This window comes from Homo sapiens, chromosome 9 (assembly GCF_000001405.40).
Source record: "Homo sapiens chromosome 9, GRCh38.p14 Primary Assembly".
NCBI lineage: Eukaryota > Metazoa > Chordata > Mammalia > Primates > Hominidae > Homo > Homo sapiens.
This window is the reverse complement of record NC_000009.12, coordinates 91,691,297-91,711,288: the sequence shown is the minus strand read 5'-3', so window position 1 is coordinate 91,711,288 and position 19,992 is coordinate 91,691,297. Positions and strand designations below refer to the sequence as shown.

At 44.0% G+C, this 19,992-nt stretch overlaps 2 annotated features.

The window, feature by feature from the left end:
* Positions 17,558 to 18,119: an enhancer, noted in NCBI's record as "NANOG hESC enhancer chr9:94455452-94456013 (GRCh37/hg19 assembly coordinates)". NCBI's record gives its function as "activates a minimal SCP1, AML or CMV promoter by ChIP-STARR-seq in naive and primed H9 embryonic stem cells {active_cell/tissue: H9 hESC(naive and primed)}" and the evidence as "EXISTENCE:reporter gene assay evidence [ECO:0000049][PMID:30033119]".
* Positions 17,728 to 18,022: a silencer, noted in NCBI's record as "tiled region #8875; HepG2 Repressive non-DNase unmatched - State 23:Low, and K562 Repressive non-DNase unmatched - State 22:ReprW". NCBI's record gives its function as "represses a minimal TATA promoter and a strong SV40 promoter by Sharpr-MPRA in HepG2 and K562 cells {active_cell/tissue: HepG2 | K562}" and the evidence as "EXISTENCE:reporter gene assay evidence [ECO:0000049][PMID:27701403]".

The following is a 19,992-nucleotide window of genomic DNA, read 5'->3' as shown; positions in this document are numbered from 1 at the left end:
ACACACCATCCACACATACACCACACACCTCACACAACCTCACACATACCACAAACACCACACACACACCTCACATACCACACACATACACCACACACATCACACACCACACACCGCAAACATGCACCACACACACACCTCACATACTACACACATCACACACACCATACACATACACTCCACACACATATCACATACATACACTCCACAAACACCAAACACACACCTCACACACACACACCACACACAAACACATACACACCATACACACCTCACACAAAAACACACATCACACAAACATACATATATACATACATTCCACACACAAACCAAACACATCATATACACAAATGCACATACACAGCACATATACCACACACACACAAACCACACAACACACACACACCAGACAAACCCTACACACACCACCCACACATCACACACCACACACCACACACACACAGACACACGCACACAAGTTTCTCTTCTACCCCAAGGAGTGCAATTATTTGTTCACTGGTTTTCTTTCTAAAAATCCTCATTGTGAATTTCTGGTAAATAAAATTCTCCACCTCTAAATTTTTTAGCATTTAGGCTGTTTCTAAACTGTTGCTCTTCTAATGTCATAGTGAACATTCTTGTGCACCAAACATTAACCTGCCACCTTACCTGACTTAGCCGAGTGTGGGCTCGATGGTTGCAGTTACCATCTTTGTGTGTTCTTGCGGTGCCAGCGTGATCCTATCTGCTTTTCTTGTTCTCTGCGTCTTACCTTTATTTACCTTTGTTTTGATTTGTTTTTTGATACTGTTTTGCTTTTCTCGAACTCAAGTTGATTTTCTTCTCACAATCTATGTCCACAGATGGAAGTCAGGGGAACAAAGTTTCGTGTTTCACCGGAAGCCCCTCCTTTCTCCCCCTAACTTGGCTTCAAGTGCAGCCAAGTAATAAAGCCCTCACACAAGGCTTTGTGGTCACAGGTCTTGGTGACCGTGCGCATGAATTCACATGTGCAGAAGAAAAGTAAAACACTTTTCCTGCACTTCCCTCCTACCATGAAGTTAAATTATTGAACTTTTGAAGGCGACTTCTCTTACACCAAGTAAAAATGTCTGCATTAGTTTTCATTTGGATTAAAAAGTAGGACACCAATACTGATACGGGATGAAATGGGGTGCATGTTGGGTGCTGGTGCTCTGTCAGAAGTTAATCCTTCCGTGAGTTCCACTGCCAAATGCCAGGTGACCATCTGCCAAAGCCAGACACTAGAGTGGTGAGGACACGTTTCAATCAGAATCAGTAACTTTTTTTTTTTTTTTTTTCGAGACAGAGTCTTACTCTGTCGCCCAGGCCAGGCTGGAATGCAGTGACACAATCTTGGCTCACTGCAACCTCCGCCTCCTAGGTTCAAGGGATTCTCCAGCCTCAGCCTCCCAAGTAGCTGGGATTACAGGTGTACGCCACCACACCCAGCTAATTTTTGAATTTTTAGTAGAGACGGGGTTTCACCATGTTGGCCAGGCTGGTCTCAAACACCTGACCTCAGGTGATCCACCTGCCTCGGCCTCCCAGAGTGCTGGGATTACAGGCATGAGCCACCGCACCCGGCCTCAATTAGTAACTATTGGTAATAGGAGAAAATCCAGCATGAACGCATCAATCTGAACAGAAGTGACCAGGCATTTTAAAGGGAGGATGAGGGACTAGGGAGTGGGTGAGTAGGGGCTCAGTGGAGCCAGGGAAGTAAAAAATTACAGAGAGCTGGGAAGGCGGCTCTGGTCCATGTGAAACCCATGTGGATTTGCTAACTAACTGACACATATCAAGATTAGGCTCCTGTCTGCCCACAGAGGCTGGGAGACCCTGCTTGAAGGCCCTACCTTCAGGTGTTGGCTGGAATAAACTAAATTCTTTTGGCAGCCTTGAGTTTTCCTAGGCAGGCACATTATGGGTGCTAGGGATATAGCTGTGAGCTATTAGAAACTATGTTAGAGTTTATTGGGGCCTGGTTGAGAAGGGGCTCAAAAGAGACTGTTTAGAGTTTGGCCAAGGAAGAATTTTTGTCACTTGCCTGAGGCCAAAAAGATTGATTAAAAATACAACAACAACAACAACAACAAACAACAACAACAAGAGGTGGGTTACTGTTAGTTAATCAGAAATAGTAAGGTCAGAAATATTCAGAGATAATGAAGGGGTCCATGTTTTGATAAAAGGCCATGAAAAGTCATGGAAGCCACAACTAGTCCACACCAAGCTTGGCAGATAGATGTGTAGAGCAGCAGCTCCCAGGATGAATAGCCACTGTGGGAACATTAAATGCAGCTTTCAGAAATTGAAAGAGCAAGTCAGAAAAAATATCTGCAAACATTTCGTTCTGAAGGACACAATCCCTCAGCTTGGTCTAATTAGGCAGACTGATAACCTTGGTTCATACACATAGTATCAAGTTTTTCTTATAGCACATTTTTAATAATCAATCATGTACTTAACAACGAAGTAAGCCTTATTAAAATCCCCAAAGTAGAAACTTTACAAACTGTTTTTGCTGACCATAATTCCATAAATCTTTTTGTTGTTGTTGTTGAGACAGGGTCTTGCCCTGTCACCCAGGCTGGAGTGCAGTGGCATGATCTCTGCTCACTGCAACCTCTGCCTCCCGGGTTCAAGGAATTCTCATGCCTCAGCCTCCCCAGTAGCTGGGATTACAGGCATGCACCACCACCACCTCTGGCTAATTTTTTTTGTATTTTTATTAGAGACAGGGTTTCACCATGTTGGCCAGGCTGGTCTTGAACTCCTGGCCTCAGGTGATCCTCCCACCTTGGCCTCCCAAAGTGCTGGGATTACAGGCACAAGCCACAATGCCTGGCCCGTAAATCTTAATATGACCAGAAAAATAACTACTTCCAGTCAGGTGCGGTGGCTCACGCCTGCAATCCCAGCACTTTGGGAGGTTGAAGCAGGTGGATCACCTGAGGCCAGGAGTTCAAGACCAGCCTAGTCAACGTGGCAAAACCCTATCTCTCCTAAATATACAAAAATTAGCCAGGTGTGGTGGCACACACCTGTAATTCCAGCTACTCGGGAGGCTGAGGCAGGAGAATTGCTTGAACCAGGGAGGTGGAAGTTGCAGTGAACTGAGATCGCACCACTGCACTCCAGCATGGGCGACAGAGCAAGACGTTATCTCAAAAAAAATATATAATAATAACTACTTGAACACTTTTCTAGGTAAACCCTGGATCAAAGAAAAAATCAAAATCAAATGTCAAGGTATCTAGAAATTAATGAAAGAAGAATACAATTATGGAATACAGCTAAAGCTGCATTCTAAGGAAAAGTTAGAGCTTAACTACTATCTTATTTAAAAACAATAAAAAGCAAGCACAATTTATATTCACAAACAGGAAAGATCCCCAACCCCCATCCTCCTGTCCACACTGCTGTGACACTGGCTTTCAGAGCCCTTAGAGCTTCCTCAACTCTTAACTCTGTTCTCCTCTGCAATCCACCCCCATTCTTTCCTCCCTCTGACATCCTCACTCAGGCCTCGTCTTCGACCCTTTCCTTTCTGAGTGTTCTACTTCTGCTAGTAACTTGTTAAATGAATAGTAAACTGAATTTATTTATTTTTTCATTATTTTCTGACATTAAAAGTGATAAAGAGGCTGGGCGCAGTGGCTCACGCCTGTAATCCCAGCACTTTGGGAGGCCAAGGCAGGTGGATCATGAGGTCAGGGGATTGCGACCATCCTGGCTAACACGGTCAAACCCCGCCTCTACTAAAAATACAAAAAAATTAGCTGGGCATGGTGGCGGGCGCCTGTAGTCCCAGCTACTTGGGAGGCTGAGGCAGGACAATGGCGTGAACCCGGGAGGTGGAGCTTGCAGTGAGCTGAGATTGCACCACTGCACTCCAGCCTGGGCGACAGAGCGAGACTCTGTCTCAAAAAAAAAAAAAAGTGATAACTGATTTTCTGGTAACTTTAGCAAGATGGTGGAAAAGGAGTTCCCTTTCTTGTATCCCCTACAGCAACAACAGTTTTACAGCCATCCACAGACAAAATGCCTGTGTGCAAGCTCTGGGATCCAGGTAGGAGGTTGCAAAACTCTGGTGGAGGCCATGACCAAGGAGGGCCATTTTGAGAAAGCAGGCTCACTGACTATGGCAGTCCCAGGTGGCCAGGCTCACTGACTGTGGTCCCAGCTACACACCTGGAAACAGCCTATTCCCCTGTGGACTCAGCTACAGCCCCATTTGGCCTTGGTCCTGCCACCAACATGATCCACCAAAGGCCCTAGGAGGAGTCATGCTCACCCATGCCTCATGTAACATGCCCACTGACTGAAGGTTGACTGCTGATCCTGAAATAGCCCCGTAACAAGCTCCAGCTCCTTTCAACCATGGCTTGAGAATGGTTCTGCTCACCAAGGGCATCAGATGGAGACACACCCAACTGAGACCCTGGACCTCAGTCCAACTGGAGATAATGAAGTGACCTGTGACCCAGCCCCAATTCTGCTAAGCCATGATTTGGGGCAGTCCTGCCCACCAAGGAATCCAGCAAGAGGCATACCCATCCATACCCCTGGAGGCAGACTTGCAGACCTCAGTCTGTGCTGTAGACTCTGAAGCAGCCTTGTGACTTAGTTCTAGCCCCACTCAGCCATAGCCTAAAGTCAGTCCTCCCCACCCAGAGACTTTCCCAGTGACCCAATAGGAGACGTCTCAGGGACCTGGCAGAAGCCACACTCATCCACACACATGGTAACAGGCCCACTGTTTGCAGACCCAACTGAGCACTCTGAAGTGGATTACTGTCCTAGTGCCAGACCTACTGCCCAATTTTCTGGAGGCAGTTCCATCTGCCCAGGGACAAAGGCTGAATTATCACCCACCTGAATGTCTGGTAACAGGCCTACCAATGATGGACCCCATGCAGACCCAGCAACAGCCACATAACCTGGCCCCAAACCCACTCAGCTGTGATCCCAGAAACAATCCCATTGGTCTGGATGGCAGCAGAAGGTCTTTGCCTGCCAAAACCAGCCTGTAAAGACTAGAAGAAGGGTTTGCTCCTTCAAATGTGCAAACACCAATGCAAGCCTACATGGAGCACAAAGAATCAGGCAGACACGACACTACCAAAAGAAACTAATAAAGCTCCAGTAGCAGACCCCAAGAAATGGAGGTCTACAAATTGCCTGATGAAGAACTCAAAATGAAGTCAGGCCTCTGTACCTGTGGGTTCTGCATCCATGGATTCAGTCAACCATGGATCAAAACTATTTTCGTGTCTCCAACTGCACACAGATAGGCTTTTTGTTGTCATTATTCCCTAAACAATACAGTATAACAACTATTTACATAGAATTACACTGTGTTAGGTATTATAAGTAATCTAAGATGATTTAAAGTATACAGGAGGATGTGCATAGGTTATATACAAATACTATGCCATTTTATATCAGAAACTTCAGCACCCACAGATTTTCATATCCATGGGAGGTCCTGGAACTAGTCCTCCATGGATACTGAGGGACAACTACACTCATTTTAAAGAAGCTTGATGAGATGCAAGAGAACACAGACAGACAGCTAAATGAAATCAGAAAAACAATGCATGAATAAAATAAGAAGATTAATGGAGAAAAAAGAATCAAACAGAAATTCTGGAGCTGAAGAATACAACGGCAGAACTAAGCAATTCAATAGAGAGCTTCAGCAGCAGATTTTTTTTTTTTTTTAATTATGCAGAAGAGTCAGTGAACTCAAACACAGGTCATTTGAAATTAGCCAGTTAGAGGAATAGAAAGAAAAAAATAATGAAAAAGAGTTAAGAAAGTATACAAGCCCTACAAGACACCATCAAACAAATGAATATATTCATTTGAGGATTTCTAGGAGGAGGAAACAAAGGAAATTAAAGCCTATTTAAAGAAATAATGGCTGAAGACTTCTCAAATCTTGGGAGGAATATGGACATCTGGATTCATGTTTAAAAATAAACAAAATGTTTGGGAGGCTGAGGTGGGTGGATCACTTGAGGTCAGGAGTTCAAGACCAGCCTGGCCAACATGGTGAAACCCTGTCTCTACTAAAAAATGCAAAAATTAGCCAGGTGTGGTGGCTCATGCCTGTAATTCCAGCTCCTTGGAGGGTGAGGTGGGAGAATTGCTTGAACCCAGAAGACAGAGGTTGCAGTGAGCTGAGATTATGCCAGTGCCCTCCAGGGTGGGTGACAGAGTGAGACTCCATCTTAAATAAATAAATAAACAAAATAAACAAACTTTCGTTAAACTCACCAAGAAAAAAAGAGAGGACTGAAATAAATGAAATTATAAGTAAAAGAGGAGACACCACAACTGATACCACAGAAATACAAAGGATCATAAGAGATTATAATGAATATGTATATATCAACAAATTGAATAATCAGAAGAAATTGATAAATTTCTAGACACAAACAACCTACCAAGGCTGAAGCATATAGCAGTAGAAAATCTGAACAGATCAATAATGAGTAACAAGAATTTTATTACTAAATTTAATTACTGAAGCAGTAATAAAATGTTTCACATTAAAGAAAAGCCTAAGACTGGCTGGGCACAGTGGCTCATGCCTGTAATCCCAGCACTTTGGGAGGCCCAGGTGGGCGGATCACAAGGTCAGGAGATGGAGACCATCCTGACTAACATGGTGAAACCCCCTCTCTACTAAAAATACAAAAAAAAAAAAATTAGCCCAGCGTGGTGATGGGTGCCTGTAGTCCCAGCTACTCGGGAGGCTGAGGCGGGAGAATGGCGTGAACCTGGGAGATGGAGCTTGCAGTGAGCCGAGATCATGCCACTGCACTCCAGCCTGGGCGACAAAGCGAGACTCTGTCTCAAAAAAAAAAAAAAAAAAAAAAAAAAAGAAGAAGAAAAGAAAAGCCTAGGACCAAATGGTTTCACAGATGAATTCTACCAAACATTTGAAGAAGGATTATTGCCAGTTCTTCTCAAATTCTTCCAAAAATTGAAGAGGTGAGAACACTTCTAAACTGATTTTACATTGCCAGCTTTATCCTCATACCAAAGCCAGATAAGGACATTACAAGAAAAGATAATTACAGGTCACTATTTTTGATGAGTGTAGATTTTTTAAGTCTTCAAGAAAATACTAACAAACCACCTTCAAAGCACATTAAAAGGATAATACAGGGCGAGCATGGTGGCTCACGCCTATAATCCCAGCACTTTGGGAGGCTGAGGCAGGTGGATCACGAGGTCAGGAGTTCAAGACTAGTCTGACCAAGATGGTGAAACCCCATCTCTACTAAAAATACAGAAATTAGCCAGGTGTAGGAGTGGGCGCCTATAGTCCCAGCTACTCGGGAGGCTGAGGCAAAGAACTGCTTGAACCCTGGAGGCAGAGGTTGCAGTGAGCCGAGATCATGCCACTGCACTCCAGCCTAGATGACACAGCGAGACTCTGTCTCAAAAAAAAAAAAAAAAAAAAAAAGATTATACATAATGATCAAGTGGAATTTTTCCCTGGGATATAAGGATAGTTCAACATATGCAGACCAACAACAAATGTGATACACCACATTAAGAGAATGAAGGACAAAAACCATATGATCATCTCAATAGATGCAGAAAAGACATTCAGCAAAATTCAACATCATTTCATGATTTTAAAAAACTCTCAGAAATGAGGAACAGAAGAAATGTGCCTCAACACAATAAAAGCCATATGCCACAAGCTCATAACTAACATCATATTCAATAATGAAAAGTTGAAAGCTTTTTCCTCTCAGGTTAGGAACAAGAAAGGATAATTTTCATTACTATTTAACACAGTTCTGGAAGTTTTAGCCAGAGCTAGGAAAAGGAAATAAAAGGCACCCAAATCAGAAAGGAAGAGGTTAACTGCCTATGTTTGCAGATGACATGATCTTATATATGGAAAACCCTAAGACTCCACCAGAAAATGGCTAGAACTAATAAATTAATTCAGTAAAATTGTAGGATACAAAATTAACGTACAAAAATCTGTTGCATTTCTATACACAAACAACCAACTATCCAAAAAGAAATTAAGAAAATAATCCCATTTACAATTTCATAAAAAATCCAAAATATGTAGGAAGAAGTTTAACCAAGTAGGTAAGAGATCTGTACACTGAAAACTATAAGACAATGATGAAAGAAATTTTAGAGACAAAGAAAACATATCCCATGTTCATGGGGTTGGAGTGATTAATATTGTTAAAATATCCACACTATCCAAAGTGATCTATGAATTAAATGCAATCACTATCAAAGTTTCAATGGCATTTTCCACAGATATAGAAAAAATTCATATGGAACCACAAGACTCCAAATAGCCAAAGAGGTCTTGAGTAAGAATAACAAAGCTGGAGACACCAAATTTCCTTATTTGAAACTATATTATAAAGCTATAGTAATCAAAACAGTATAATACTGGCATAAAAACAGACACATAGATAAATGGAACAGAATACAGATCCCATAAATAAACTCCAGCATATATGGTCAACTAATCTTTGACAAGAATGCCAAGAATACACAATGGGAGAAACGACAGTCTCTTCAATGAATGGTATTGAGAAAATGGATATCCACATGGACCCCTATCTTACATCACACACAAATATTAACTCAAAATGATTTAAATGTAAAACCCAGAATCGTAACACTCCTAGAAGAAAACATAGAAACAATCTTCTTGACATTGGTGTTGTCAATGATTATTTGAATATGACACCAAAATAATAGGCAACAAAATAAAAAATAAATAAGTGGGACTAGATCACACTAAAAAGCTTCTGCACAGCAAAGGAAACAATAAAATGAAAAGGCAACCTACAGAGAAAATATTTGCAAACCACATATCTGTTAAGGGGTTAATATTCAGAACATATAGGGACCTCACACATCTCAATAACAAAACAAAGAACAAAGCAATGTAATTGAAAAATGGGCAAAGCGCCTAACAGACATTTCTCCAAAAAAGCCATACAATGGCCAACAGGTATGTGAAAATATACTAAGATTCACTAAACATCAGTGAAATGTAAATCCAAACCATAATGAGATACCAGCTCATATCTGTTCGACTTGTTGTCAACATGATAACAAGTTGATAAGATGATATCAACAATATGATAACATGTTGATAACAAGTCTAGTTTTCAAAAAGTCAAATTTATAACAAGTTTTTTTCAGAGTCAAATGATAACAAGTGTTTGTGAGGGTGTAGAGAAGAGGGTGCCCTTGTACACTGTTGGTGGGAATATAAATTGGTATAGCCATTTTGGAAGAGTGTGGAGGTCCCTCAACAATTAAAAATAGAACTATCATATGATCCAGGACCCCTATTTCCGGGTGTATATCCAAAGGAATTGAAATCAATACCTCAAAGAGGTAGCTACACTTCCATATTCATTGCAGCATTATGAACCACCTAAGTGTCTGTGATGGATAAATGGATTAAAAACATGTAGTATATATATACAAGGGCATATTATTCAGCCATAAAAATAAGGAACTAGGCTGGGCACGGTGGCTCATGCCTGTAATTCCAGCACTTTGGGAGGCCGAGGCGGGCGGATCACGAGGTCAGGAGATCGAGACCATCTTGGCTAACATGGTGAAACCCCGTCTCTACTAAAAATACAAAAAATTAGCTGGGCGTAGTAGCGGGCGCCTGTAGTCCCAGCTAGTCGGGAGGCTGAGGCAGGAGAATGGTGTGAACCTGGGAGGTGGAGCTTGCAATGAGCCGAGATTACGCCACTGCACTCCAGCCTTGGCGACAGAGTGAGACTCCGTCTCAAAAAATATAAATAAATAAAAATAAAAATAAGGAACTAGTTGGGTGTGGTGGCTCATGCCTATAATCCCAGCATTTTGGGAGGCCTAAGCAGGTGGATTGCTTGAGACCAGAAGTTCTAGACCAACCTGGAGAGCATGGTGAAACCCCATCTCTGCAAAAGTATAAAAATTAGCCAGGTGTGGTGGCATGCACCTGTAATCCCAGCTACTCAGGAGGCTGAGGTGGGAGGTTTCACCTGAGCCCAGAGAGGTCAAGACTACAGTGAGCCACGATTGTGCCACTGTATTTTAGCCTGGGCGACAGAGTGAGACCCTGTCTCAAAATAAACAAACAAACAAATAAGGAGGTACTGCCATTTATGACAACATAGATGAATCTATAGGACATGATAAGTGAAATAAGCCAGATGCAGAAAGAGAAATAACACAGGATCTCACTTATATGTGGAATCTTAAAAAGTTGAACTCATAGAAGTAGAGACTAGGTGGTGCTATGTTGAACAGGGATGGGGTGTGACAGGTGTGATGGAATGGGGAGATGTTGGTCAAAGAGTACACACTTACTGTTATAAAATGAGTAAGTTCTGGAGATCTAAGTTACAGCATGGTGACTATAGTTAATAATACTATGTTGTACACTTGAAATGTGCTAAGAGTATCGATCTTGAAGATTCTAGCCACTCACAAAAAGGCAACTATGTGAGGAGATGGGTGAGCTAATTAGCTGGTTTGTGGTAATCATTTCACAATGCATGCATTTGCCAAGTCATCACATTGTACACCTTGTATATGCACAATTTTCGTTATTCAATTATACCTCAATAAAGCTGGTGAAAAATAAGAAAAATAGCCGACTTATTTAATTTCTTCCCTAGTGAGAAAATCAGACTTAACTCCCACTGTCCATGGGCAATTATTCAACAACGTTCTATTTCGGGTATGCATTGCCTGGGACTGGCTCATCTGCCACCCCTCTCTGGCATCACCCTCCTTGTTTATTGGCACTTCCACAGCAAAGAAGGAAGGGAATTTTAAAACAGCAATGCCCAGGCAAGTCTGTTTTTTTTTTCTCCCCCTTTTTTGGCTGAGGTAAGTCTGTAGTGATTGATTCTCAATGATTCTTTTTTCTTTTTAGTGATTCTAAGATTCTCTAACTTGACAATAGGAGTGTGTGCAGCTCTTGCTAACATCATATTGGTTCTTTCTCTTTTTGACCCAGTGTATGACCCTAGAGAAAACTCTTAACTTTTCTGGGCCTCTATTGCTGAAATAATCAATTAAGTAATGCTTAGAGGAATAACCCTCAGAGCCTTAAACACAAGTCTGGGGTCTAAGAAAATTGGAGCCTCTGAGCTAAATGTTGTCCTCCCTTTCCTTCCTTGCACAAACTCAGAATTCTAAATTGGAATTACTCCTTTTTTTTTTTTTTCAGATGGAGTCTTGCTCTGTCACCAGGCTGGAGTGCAATGGCACGATCTTGGCTCACTGCAACCTCTGCCTCCTGGGTTCAAGCGATTCTCCTGCCTCAGCCTCCCGAGTAGCTGGGACTACAGGTGCTCACCACCACTCTCAGCTAATTTTTGTATTTTTAGTAGAGACGGGGTTTTGCCATGTTGGCCAGGCTGGTCTCGAACTCCTGTCCTCAAGTTATCTGCCTGCCGCAGCCTCCCAAAATGCTGGGATCACAGGCGTGAACCACCGTGCCTGGCCAGGATGACTCTTGAAAGTTCTGAGAGTGGAAAAAAACACACTCAAAGGTTTTTTTTTGTTTGTTTGTTTTTAATTATATCACTCAATAATAATCAACACAGAAGACTTCCATGACCAAATGTGTGGGGATTTTTTTTCCCCACATACCAAGAAAGCAATGGATTCTGCAGGGGACAGCAGTTAGGTATCCTCCAATTCAGTTCTGACACTGTCTACCTGGAGATAGTGTCAGATCCCACAGGGCTCAGTCCTGCAAGACTGCACCTCCTTCAGATGCCAGTCCCAAGTCCGGTCTCCAGAACTGACTGACTGGCTTCAAGTTGAGGGTCCCACAACCCCCTCTTTGGGTTTGATTAATTTGCTGGAGTAGCTCACAGAATTCAGGAAAACACTTATTCGTTTACTGGCTTGCCGTAAAGGGTATTACAAAGGATACAGATGAAGAGATGCGTGGGGCGAGGTATTGGGGATGCGGAGGGCGAGGTGCGGAGATTCCATGCCCTCCCCGGGTGTGCCACCCTCTGGGGGCCTCCATATGTTCAGCTCTCCAGAAGCTTCCAAATCCTGTCCTCTCTGGCCTTTTTATGGGGACTTTATCGGATAGGCCTGATTGACAACCATGTAGAAATGTGATTGGACAAAAAGCCTATGATCTAATACTGACCGACTGAGCAGGAAACCCCATAAGGCCTGCGTGTTCAGATCCTTCTTGGCCTCTCTGAGCATCCCTCCTTCCCCCAGGATATCAGATAGGACTCTTCCAAAATGGGGGTCTTATGACCCACAATTAGAAAGGCAGGTTAAATAATTTATTTGTGGCCACCCCGTCTCTACTAAAAACACAAAAAATTAGCCGGGCGTAGTGGCGGGCGCCTGTAGTCCCAGCTACTCGGGAGGCTGAGGCAGGAGAATGGCGTGAACCTGGGAGGCGGAGCTTGCAGTGAGCCGAGATCATGCCACTGCACTCCAGCCTGGGCGACAGAGCGAGGCTCCGCCTCAAAAAAAAAAAAAAAAAAATTTCTTTATGGCCAACTCCAAGACAGACAAGTGGGAGAAGAATCCTGCCTGGAAGAGAAAAAGGAGCAGGTGGAAGGAGGGTGGGAGAAGTTCAAGAGAGAGACTGTTTTGTGAGGGCTAAAGCACCCCGACATTATAATAAGGGTTATGAGAGTTATGAGTCAGGAGTGAACTGTGCTTGAAAACCAACATATATATAGCATAATGTCACAATTGCTAACTCCATTTTTTACTTTTATAGGTTATTCAAATTTACTATCTCTTTTTGAGTCAGTTTTGGTCATTTGTGGCTTTCATGTAAGTTGTGTAATTTGTAGTACAAAGTAGCCTTTACTCCTGATTTTTCTAAGGTCTAAGACTAACTACTGACAAATTACTACCGACAGATTACCATAAACTCAGCGGCTTAATAAGAGGCATGATTGACAACTGTGATTGGAAAAAAGACCATGATCTAATAACGACAGACTGGGAGGGAAACCCAGGCAAGGCCTGTGTGTTCAGATTCTTCTTGGCCTCTCTCTGCGGCACTCCTTCCCCCAGGGTAGGGGGCAGGACCCTTCTGAAATGGGGGCTGTGTGAGCCACAGTCAGACAAGGTAGGGCAGGTAATTTCTTTACGGAAAGGCAGGGAAAGAGTAGGGTCCTAATCGGGCGAAAGGAGAGCAGGAGGTCAGAGAGAGAGAGAGAGAGATTCTGTTTGCTGAGGCTTACTTTTGAGGCCTAAAGTGCTTTAACACTACAGCAAGAGCTAGGGGAGTTATGAGCCGGGAATTATGCAGTAAACACGGGATGAATTTGTGGAGATAAACACAGGACATTCTAGAATTACATAATCCGACCTCAACCTCCCCAAAATCCTGACAGGGAAGAGGTACTGTTCCTACTTTTCACTTGGGGAAACAGGCTCAGGGGAATCAAGCAACCCAAAGCATCCTTTAGGAAAAAGCAGGCATTTAGACCAGGGCCGTGACAGTGTCTGGGTGTGGGAACACGAGTGCCAGGTGGCAGACTGGAGGTGCCACACCTGGGGTGACAGTCAGCCCCCCTGTCTGCAATCCCACTGGACCTTTGCACTTGGAGGTGCTAGGAGGGTCTCAGCCCTGTAGTGTGGAGTGCAGTGCAGAGGTTCTGGGGAGCATAGGGACTCCTCCTTGCAGTAGAGTGAGGTGGGTGTGAGTCCTGAGGGAGGGTGTGGGGGAAGAGGAGGCTCCTCCGGCAGGTTGCTCCCCCTCTCCACCCACCTTCCCCAGCCCTTCCTGCTGCGGCACCTTTGAGCTGCCTGTGGGCCCCCAGCCACAGTGCCCTCCAGGACAGGTCCTGGCACGATGGATGTGATGCCGCTGGGCCAAAGGGGCCCTGGGCTGCAGGTCCTCTGGGGCTCCCAGAAAGATCCCTGTGACCTGAAGGGCTGGCAGGGATCTGTACAGTGGGGGGGTCCCCAAGAATGAGCCTCAGCCCGGAGTAACCGTGGCGGATGAACCCAGCTGGTTTTGTCTTTATGGAGATGTGGGCCCATTTATTCTTTTATCATCAATTACTTAATGTTAATTTAACTGTAAAACCACACACCAGCCAAAAATGGAATTTTATAATTTTGTTACCCTCAAAGTGGGGAAGCTTGTTTTCTACTTCTTAAAACGCTGTGAAATCGCTTTTTAAATGCCAAGATGGAAAGCTTATGTTATTAAAATGGCATATATTACACATCATTTGTTTTATTATGTAATTTATTATTATTCTTTGTAATTTTATATTCATAGCCCCAAGTAATAGAGATCCCATTAGGCAGAACATTCTGGAGTGGGAGGATCTTTTAGAAAGTTAGTTTTAGAGGCCAGGCGCGGTGGCTCACGCCTGTAATCCCAACACTGGGAGGCTGAGGCAGGTGGATCACGACATCAGGAGTTCAAGACCATCCTGGCTAAAATGGCGAAACCCGGTATCTACTAAAAATACAAAAAATTAGCTGGGTGTGGTGGCACGCACCTGTAATCCCAGCTACTCAGGAGGCTGAGGCAGGAGAATCGCTTGAACCCGGGAGGCGGAGGCTGCAGTGAGCCGAGATCCTGCCACTGCACTCCAGCCTGGGCAACAGAGCGAGACTCCTTCTCAAAAAAAAAAAAAAAAAGGAAAAAAAAAAAAAAGAAAGTTAGTTTTAGAAGAAAGAACTGTCAAAGCACAATAAATAGAGAGGCAAAAGAATATAAGAAAGAATCAGATTGCTCACTAGAAGCTTATTGAAAATCTTAGACAAAATTCTCCCAAATATCATAAACATTAGGCACTAAGAACAAATGCCTCTGCCCCCATGCACAAAGATTTGTTTTTTTAATGCTCAGGTTTTTGAAATCTAGTTTTTAAAGTTTAACTTCTTCAGTTTTTAAAAGTTATCTTTGGGGAGAAATTCTTCAAAAGTTAGTATTGCCAGAGCAGGGAAACCGGAGAAGTGTATAAAATGAAAGTAATAAAGGAAGAGGTCAGCAGTAGCCTCCCTTGCTGAAGAATCAGTTAATATCTGCACGTTCTATTTTCCAAAAGGAGTTGAAGCAATTGAATAAGTCAGTAGGCACTCGCTGTGCACCTTGGGTACCAGAGCTGGGCTGGAGGAATCGTGGGATTTTAGGAACATTGCTGAGGGTTCTTGATGCTGGAGGCTGGGCTGGTGGGCAGAGGGACCTGGGGACACAGACATAGAGACAGTCCTGTCCTAGCCAATTCAGAAGGAGGGGAGAGAATCACACCAACCCCCTTAAAGGACAGTTAGGACAGGACTTTGTGCAGGCAAATGAAAGATGGGACATTCACATCCTGCTGGTGCTGCAATCACTGTTTGGCAGTTTCTTAGAAAATTTAAAGTATTTTATGACCTGAAAGTTCCACTACTAGGTGTTTGCCCAACAGAAATGAAAACATCTACACAAAGAGTTGTACATGAATGTTCATAGCAGGCTCATTCCTAGTGTCCAAACATGAGAAACAAACGAAATGTCCATCAACAGGTGAATGTATATCCAGTCAATGGAATGGAATACTCCTCAGCAGTCGGAATGAAACACACACACACACACACACACACACACACACACTCACACCACACACACACCACACACACACCACACACACAAGCACATCACACACACACCACACACACCACACACATCACACACACCACACATACACACCACACACACATCACACACCACACACACACCACACACACACACCACACACCCATCACACACACCACACACACACATAACACACACACCACACATCACACACACATACACACAACGCACACACACATCTCACACCACACACACACATCACATCACATGGGTCTCAAAAACAGAAAGTGCATATGGTATGATTCCATGTGGAGTTCTAGAAGAGGAAATACTGGTCTATAGTGATTAGGCAGCTTTTTGGGGGGTATCTGGAGCCAGGGGTACAAGCGTAGGTGGGAATTTTAGGCATAATGGAAGTGTCTGTAGCTTGAATGTGGTGTTGGCTACACAGGTATATACGTGTCAAAATTTACTAAATGATAACCTTAAATTGATACAGATTATATACACTTTAAAGCAGCGGTCCTCAACCTTTTTGGCACCAGGGACCAGTTTTGTGGAAGACAATTTTTCCATGGACAAGGGACGGGGGATTTTTTTCACGACGATTCAAGCACATTGCATTTATTGTGCACTTTCTTTCTATTATTATTCCATTGTAATATATAATGAAATCATTACACAACTCACCATAATGTAGAATCAGTGGGAGCCGTGGGCTTGTTTTCATGCAACTAGATGGTCCTATCTGGGGGTGATGGAAGACGGTGACAAATCATCAGGCATTAGATTCTCATAAAGAGTGTGCAACCTAGATCTCTCACGTGCGCAGTTCACAATAGGGTTCACACTCCTATGAGAATCTAATGCTGCTACTGATCTGACAGGAGGCGGAGCTCAGGAAGTAATGCAGGTAATGGGAGTGACTGTAAATACAGATGGAGCTTCAGTGGCTCTCACCTCCTGCTGTGTGACCCAGTTCCTAACAGGCTGGGGGTGGGGGACCCCTGCTTTAAAGTATACCTCAATATTTGCTTGTGTAACAAACCTGCACATCCTGCACATTTACCCCAGATCTTAAAAGTTGAAAAAAAATAAAGTAGTGGTTTTAAAAAAAATACAAAGAACCCTTCTAATGTTCTTAAATGTGGATGCTAATACTTGCCCATCACAAAAGTGCAGATGGTGAGTGGACAGTGTTTGCATTCAAATGAAAGATTTTTTTAAATCTATGCAGTTATGCCACGGGACCCCAGCCTGCACTGCCATGTGACTTCAACCGCATGACAGACCCTGGGCCCAGAGCACTCAGACTCATGAACAAAATAGGTGAGTGTGGTTGTTTCAAACCACTGTTTTGGAGTGGGTTATGGGACAACATGAGATAACTGAGACAATCAGATGAGATGTTTGGTTTCAGCAAGGACGGGTTCCTGTTGATGGAGATAGGGAGGATCAAAAGCCTCAGGCTTGAGTCTCTGTTACACCTTCTGCACCCATTCTTTTCTCTGGGTGTGTCCAGGGCCCTGGACCACTTCCTCAGCTGTGATCAGAGGACTCTCTGGGTGAGGTCTGCCCAGCTGCAGAACCAGGTCCAGCTAAGAGTCTGTCATTTCGTGGCCAGACCAGGGTCCAGGAGCCCATTCAAGGAGCCTCCCTGTTGCTGTAGGTAGAAAGGCTCTCGGACTTGCTAGTGAATGCACAGGTGCAGCCCCATGTGCAGGGGTGCTAACACTTGGTGTGACCTGCAAGAGACTGGAACTGAATCTTTATTCTCCCCTGTAGACAGACTCTCCTGAGGTACTGCTGTGCACACATCTCTGACAATGGTCCCAACCGAATGTGCATGGTTCCACACGGTGCAGCTCAGTAACTCCTTCCCTCAGGCTTGCTCTCCCTCCGTCCCTGCCTCACTCCTGGTTCCCTCAACTCTCCAATTGCCTCCCGCACTGTATTCCTGGGAACCCAGGCTTAGAGAGTTTCCTGTTGGATATTTAACTGGAAATGTCAATTCCACGGCTTGGAATTCATAGTAGAAGTTTGGGCTAGAAGTACCCACTTGGGAGCCTTTGGCATATGGATGGTATTCCAGCCGCAACACTGGAAGAGATGCCACTGAGGGTCTGAGTGTAGATTTAAAAATAGAAGAGGCCTGAGAACTGAGTCATTAGCACTCTATTGTTTAAGGGCCCTGGAGGTAAGGAGGCGTGCCCAGGGAGATAGGAGGAGAACTGAGAGCATTACTTAAGTGAAAAGGTGTCATGGGGAGGAGGCAGTAATTGGCTGTGCCCACGCCGTGGATGACACCTGACCTTTCACTGTGTGGACATAGCCAAGTGGCAGCCTCGCAGGTTTCGACAGTTTGGGTGGAGAGGCCAAGGGGTCACGAGCAAATTGGAAGAGAGCAAAGAAAAACAATGAGGATGGGATTTTCTTTAAAAAGTTTTGCTTCATGGGGAGACAAGAAAATCTGTGCCACTCTTACTCTCTTTTTTCTTTAAATAATCCATTTTTCCAGTCTGTATGTTTCTAAGGTTTTTCTCTTTACTCCTCCAATTGAGGAATTTCATCAGCCTGTAGCGAAGTGTCGGTTTGTTCAGGCTGTTGTAACAAAATGCCACAGACTGGGTGGCTTAACCAATGGACGTCTATTCTCTCAGTTCTAAAGGCTGGAAGTTTGAAGGTTCAGGGAGCAAGTTTCCTCCCCAGGACAGCAACCCATCCCATGTCTCACAGAGTGGCCTCCTTGGGCAGTGCCTCTCCACAAGGCAGTGCGAGGATGAGAAACCAGCTTCTCACCTCATCTCTTTCTGATCCTTCGTTTGTGGACTCCCACAACGAAACCTATTTCTTTTTCTTTCTTTCTTTTTCTTTTTTTTTTGAGATTGAGTCTCACTCTGTTGCCCAGGCAGGTGTGCAGTGGTGCGATCTTGGCTCACTGCAACTTCCATCTCCCGGGTTCAAGTGATTCCCCTGCTTCAGCCTCTGAGTAGCTGGGATTACAGGTGTGCACCACCATGCCCAGCTAATTTTTGTATTTTTAGTAGAGAAGGGGTTTCAGCATGTTGGCTAGGCTGGTCTCCAACTCCTGACCTGAGGTGATCCATCCACCTCGGCCTCCCAAAGTGCTGGGATTACAGGTGTGAGCCACTGTGCCTGGCCCTATTTCTTAACTCATACCCCATGATGACCCTGACAGGAAGAAGACTTTAAGAGCAGAATGTTATGTTTTAGGTTTTCACTTTGGGTTGCTAGCTTAGTTATATGGATATTACTGTTTTCTTTCAGTCCAAATTGTTGTCTTTGAAGGTTCTTAAGAACTGAAGCATAAGACTTCCCACAGGACTCTGAGAAGTGGTGTTGCCACAGGCAAAGTGTCTGTGTCCGACAAACCCCAACTCTGGGGGGGCCTGTGAGGAAATGGAGACTTTCATTTCCAGAACGTGGAGCGGTACATTGGTACAACCTCTTTGGAGAGCAATTGGACAGCATCAACAAGTTTAAGAATTGCATACTCCATGTTCTACAATTCCCTTTTTCGGTATAACACTGAGAAAATTTTCCACCCGTGGACAAGGAAACAGGCATAGAGAAGTTTGAACAGCAGCGTTGATGTTGGCCTCTGCCTGGGGCTCTTCCTCACATGTACATTGAGCTGATTCTTTATCTCCTTGAAGCCTTTGCTCAAAGATGCCTTCTCAGTGGTGTCTGCCCTGACCCCTATCCCCACTGAAATGGGAGCCTGTTTCCCTCTGCATATACCCACACCATCCAGACCCCTCTTTTTCTGCTGGGTTTTTTTTTTTTTTTTTTTGCCTGTAAGACTTAGCAGCTTCCAACACACTAGAAATGTATTCACTTATGTTTATTATGTGTGTCCTCCTCAACCTCTGTATTAGTCCATTTTCACACTGCTATGAAGAACTGCCTGAGTCTGGGTAATTTATACAGAAAAAAGGTTTAATTGACTCACAACTCTCCATGGCTTGGGAGGCTTCAGGAAACTTACAGTCATGATGGAAGGTGGAGAGGAAGCAAAACACATCTTACATGGTGGCAGGAGAGAGAGCATGTGGGGAAAATTGCCACTTTTCAACCATTAGATCTCGTGAGAACTCACTATCATGAGAAAAGCATGGGGGAAACTGCCCCCATGATCCAATCACCTCCCACCAGTTCCCTCCCACGACATGTGGGGATTACAATTCAAGGTGAGATTTGGGTGGGGACACAGATCCAAACCGTATCATCCCCCACCCAAAGTAGAACATAAACTATAAATATACAAATGGATTATGGTCAGACCATGTATGAAAATAAAATTCTGAGCTGGGTGTGGTGGTGTGCACCCA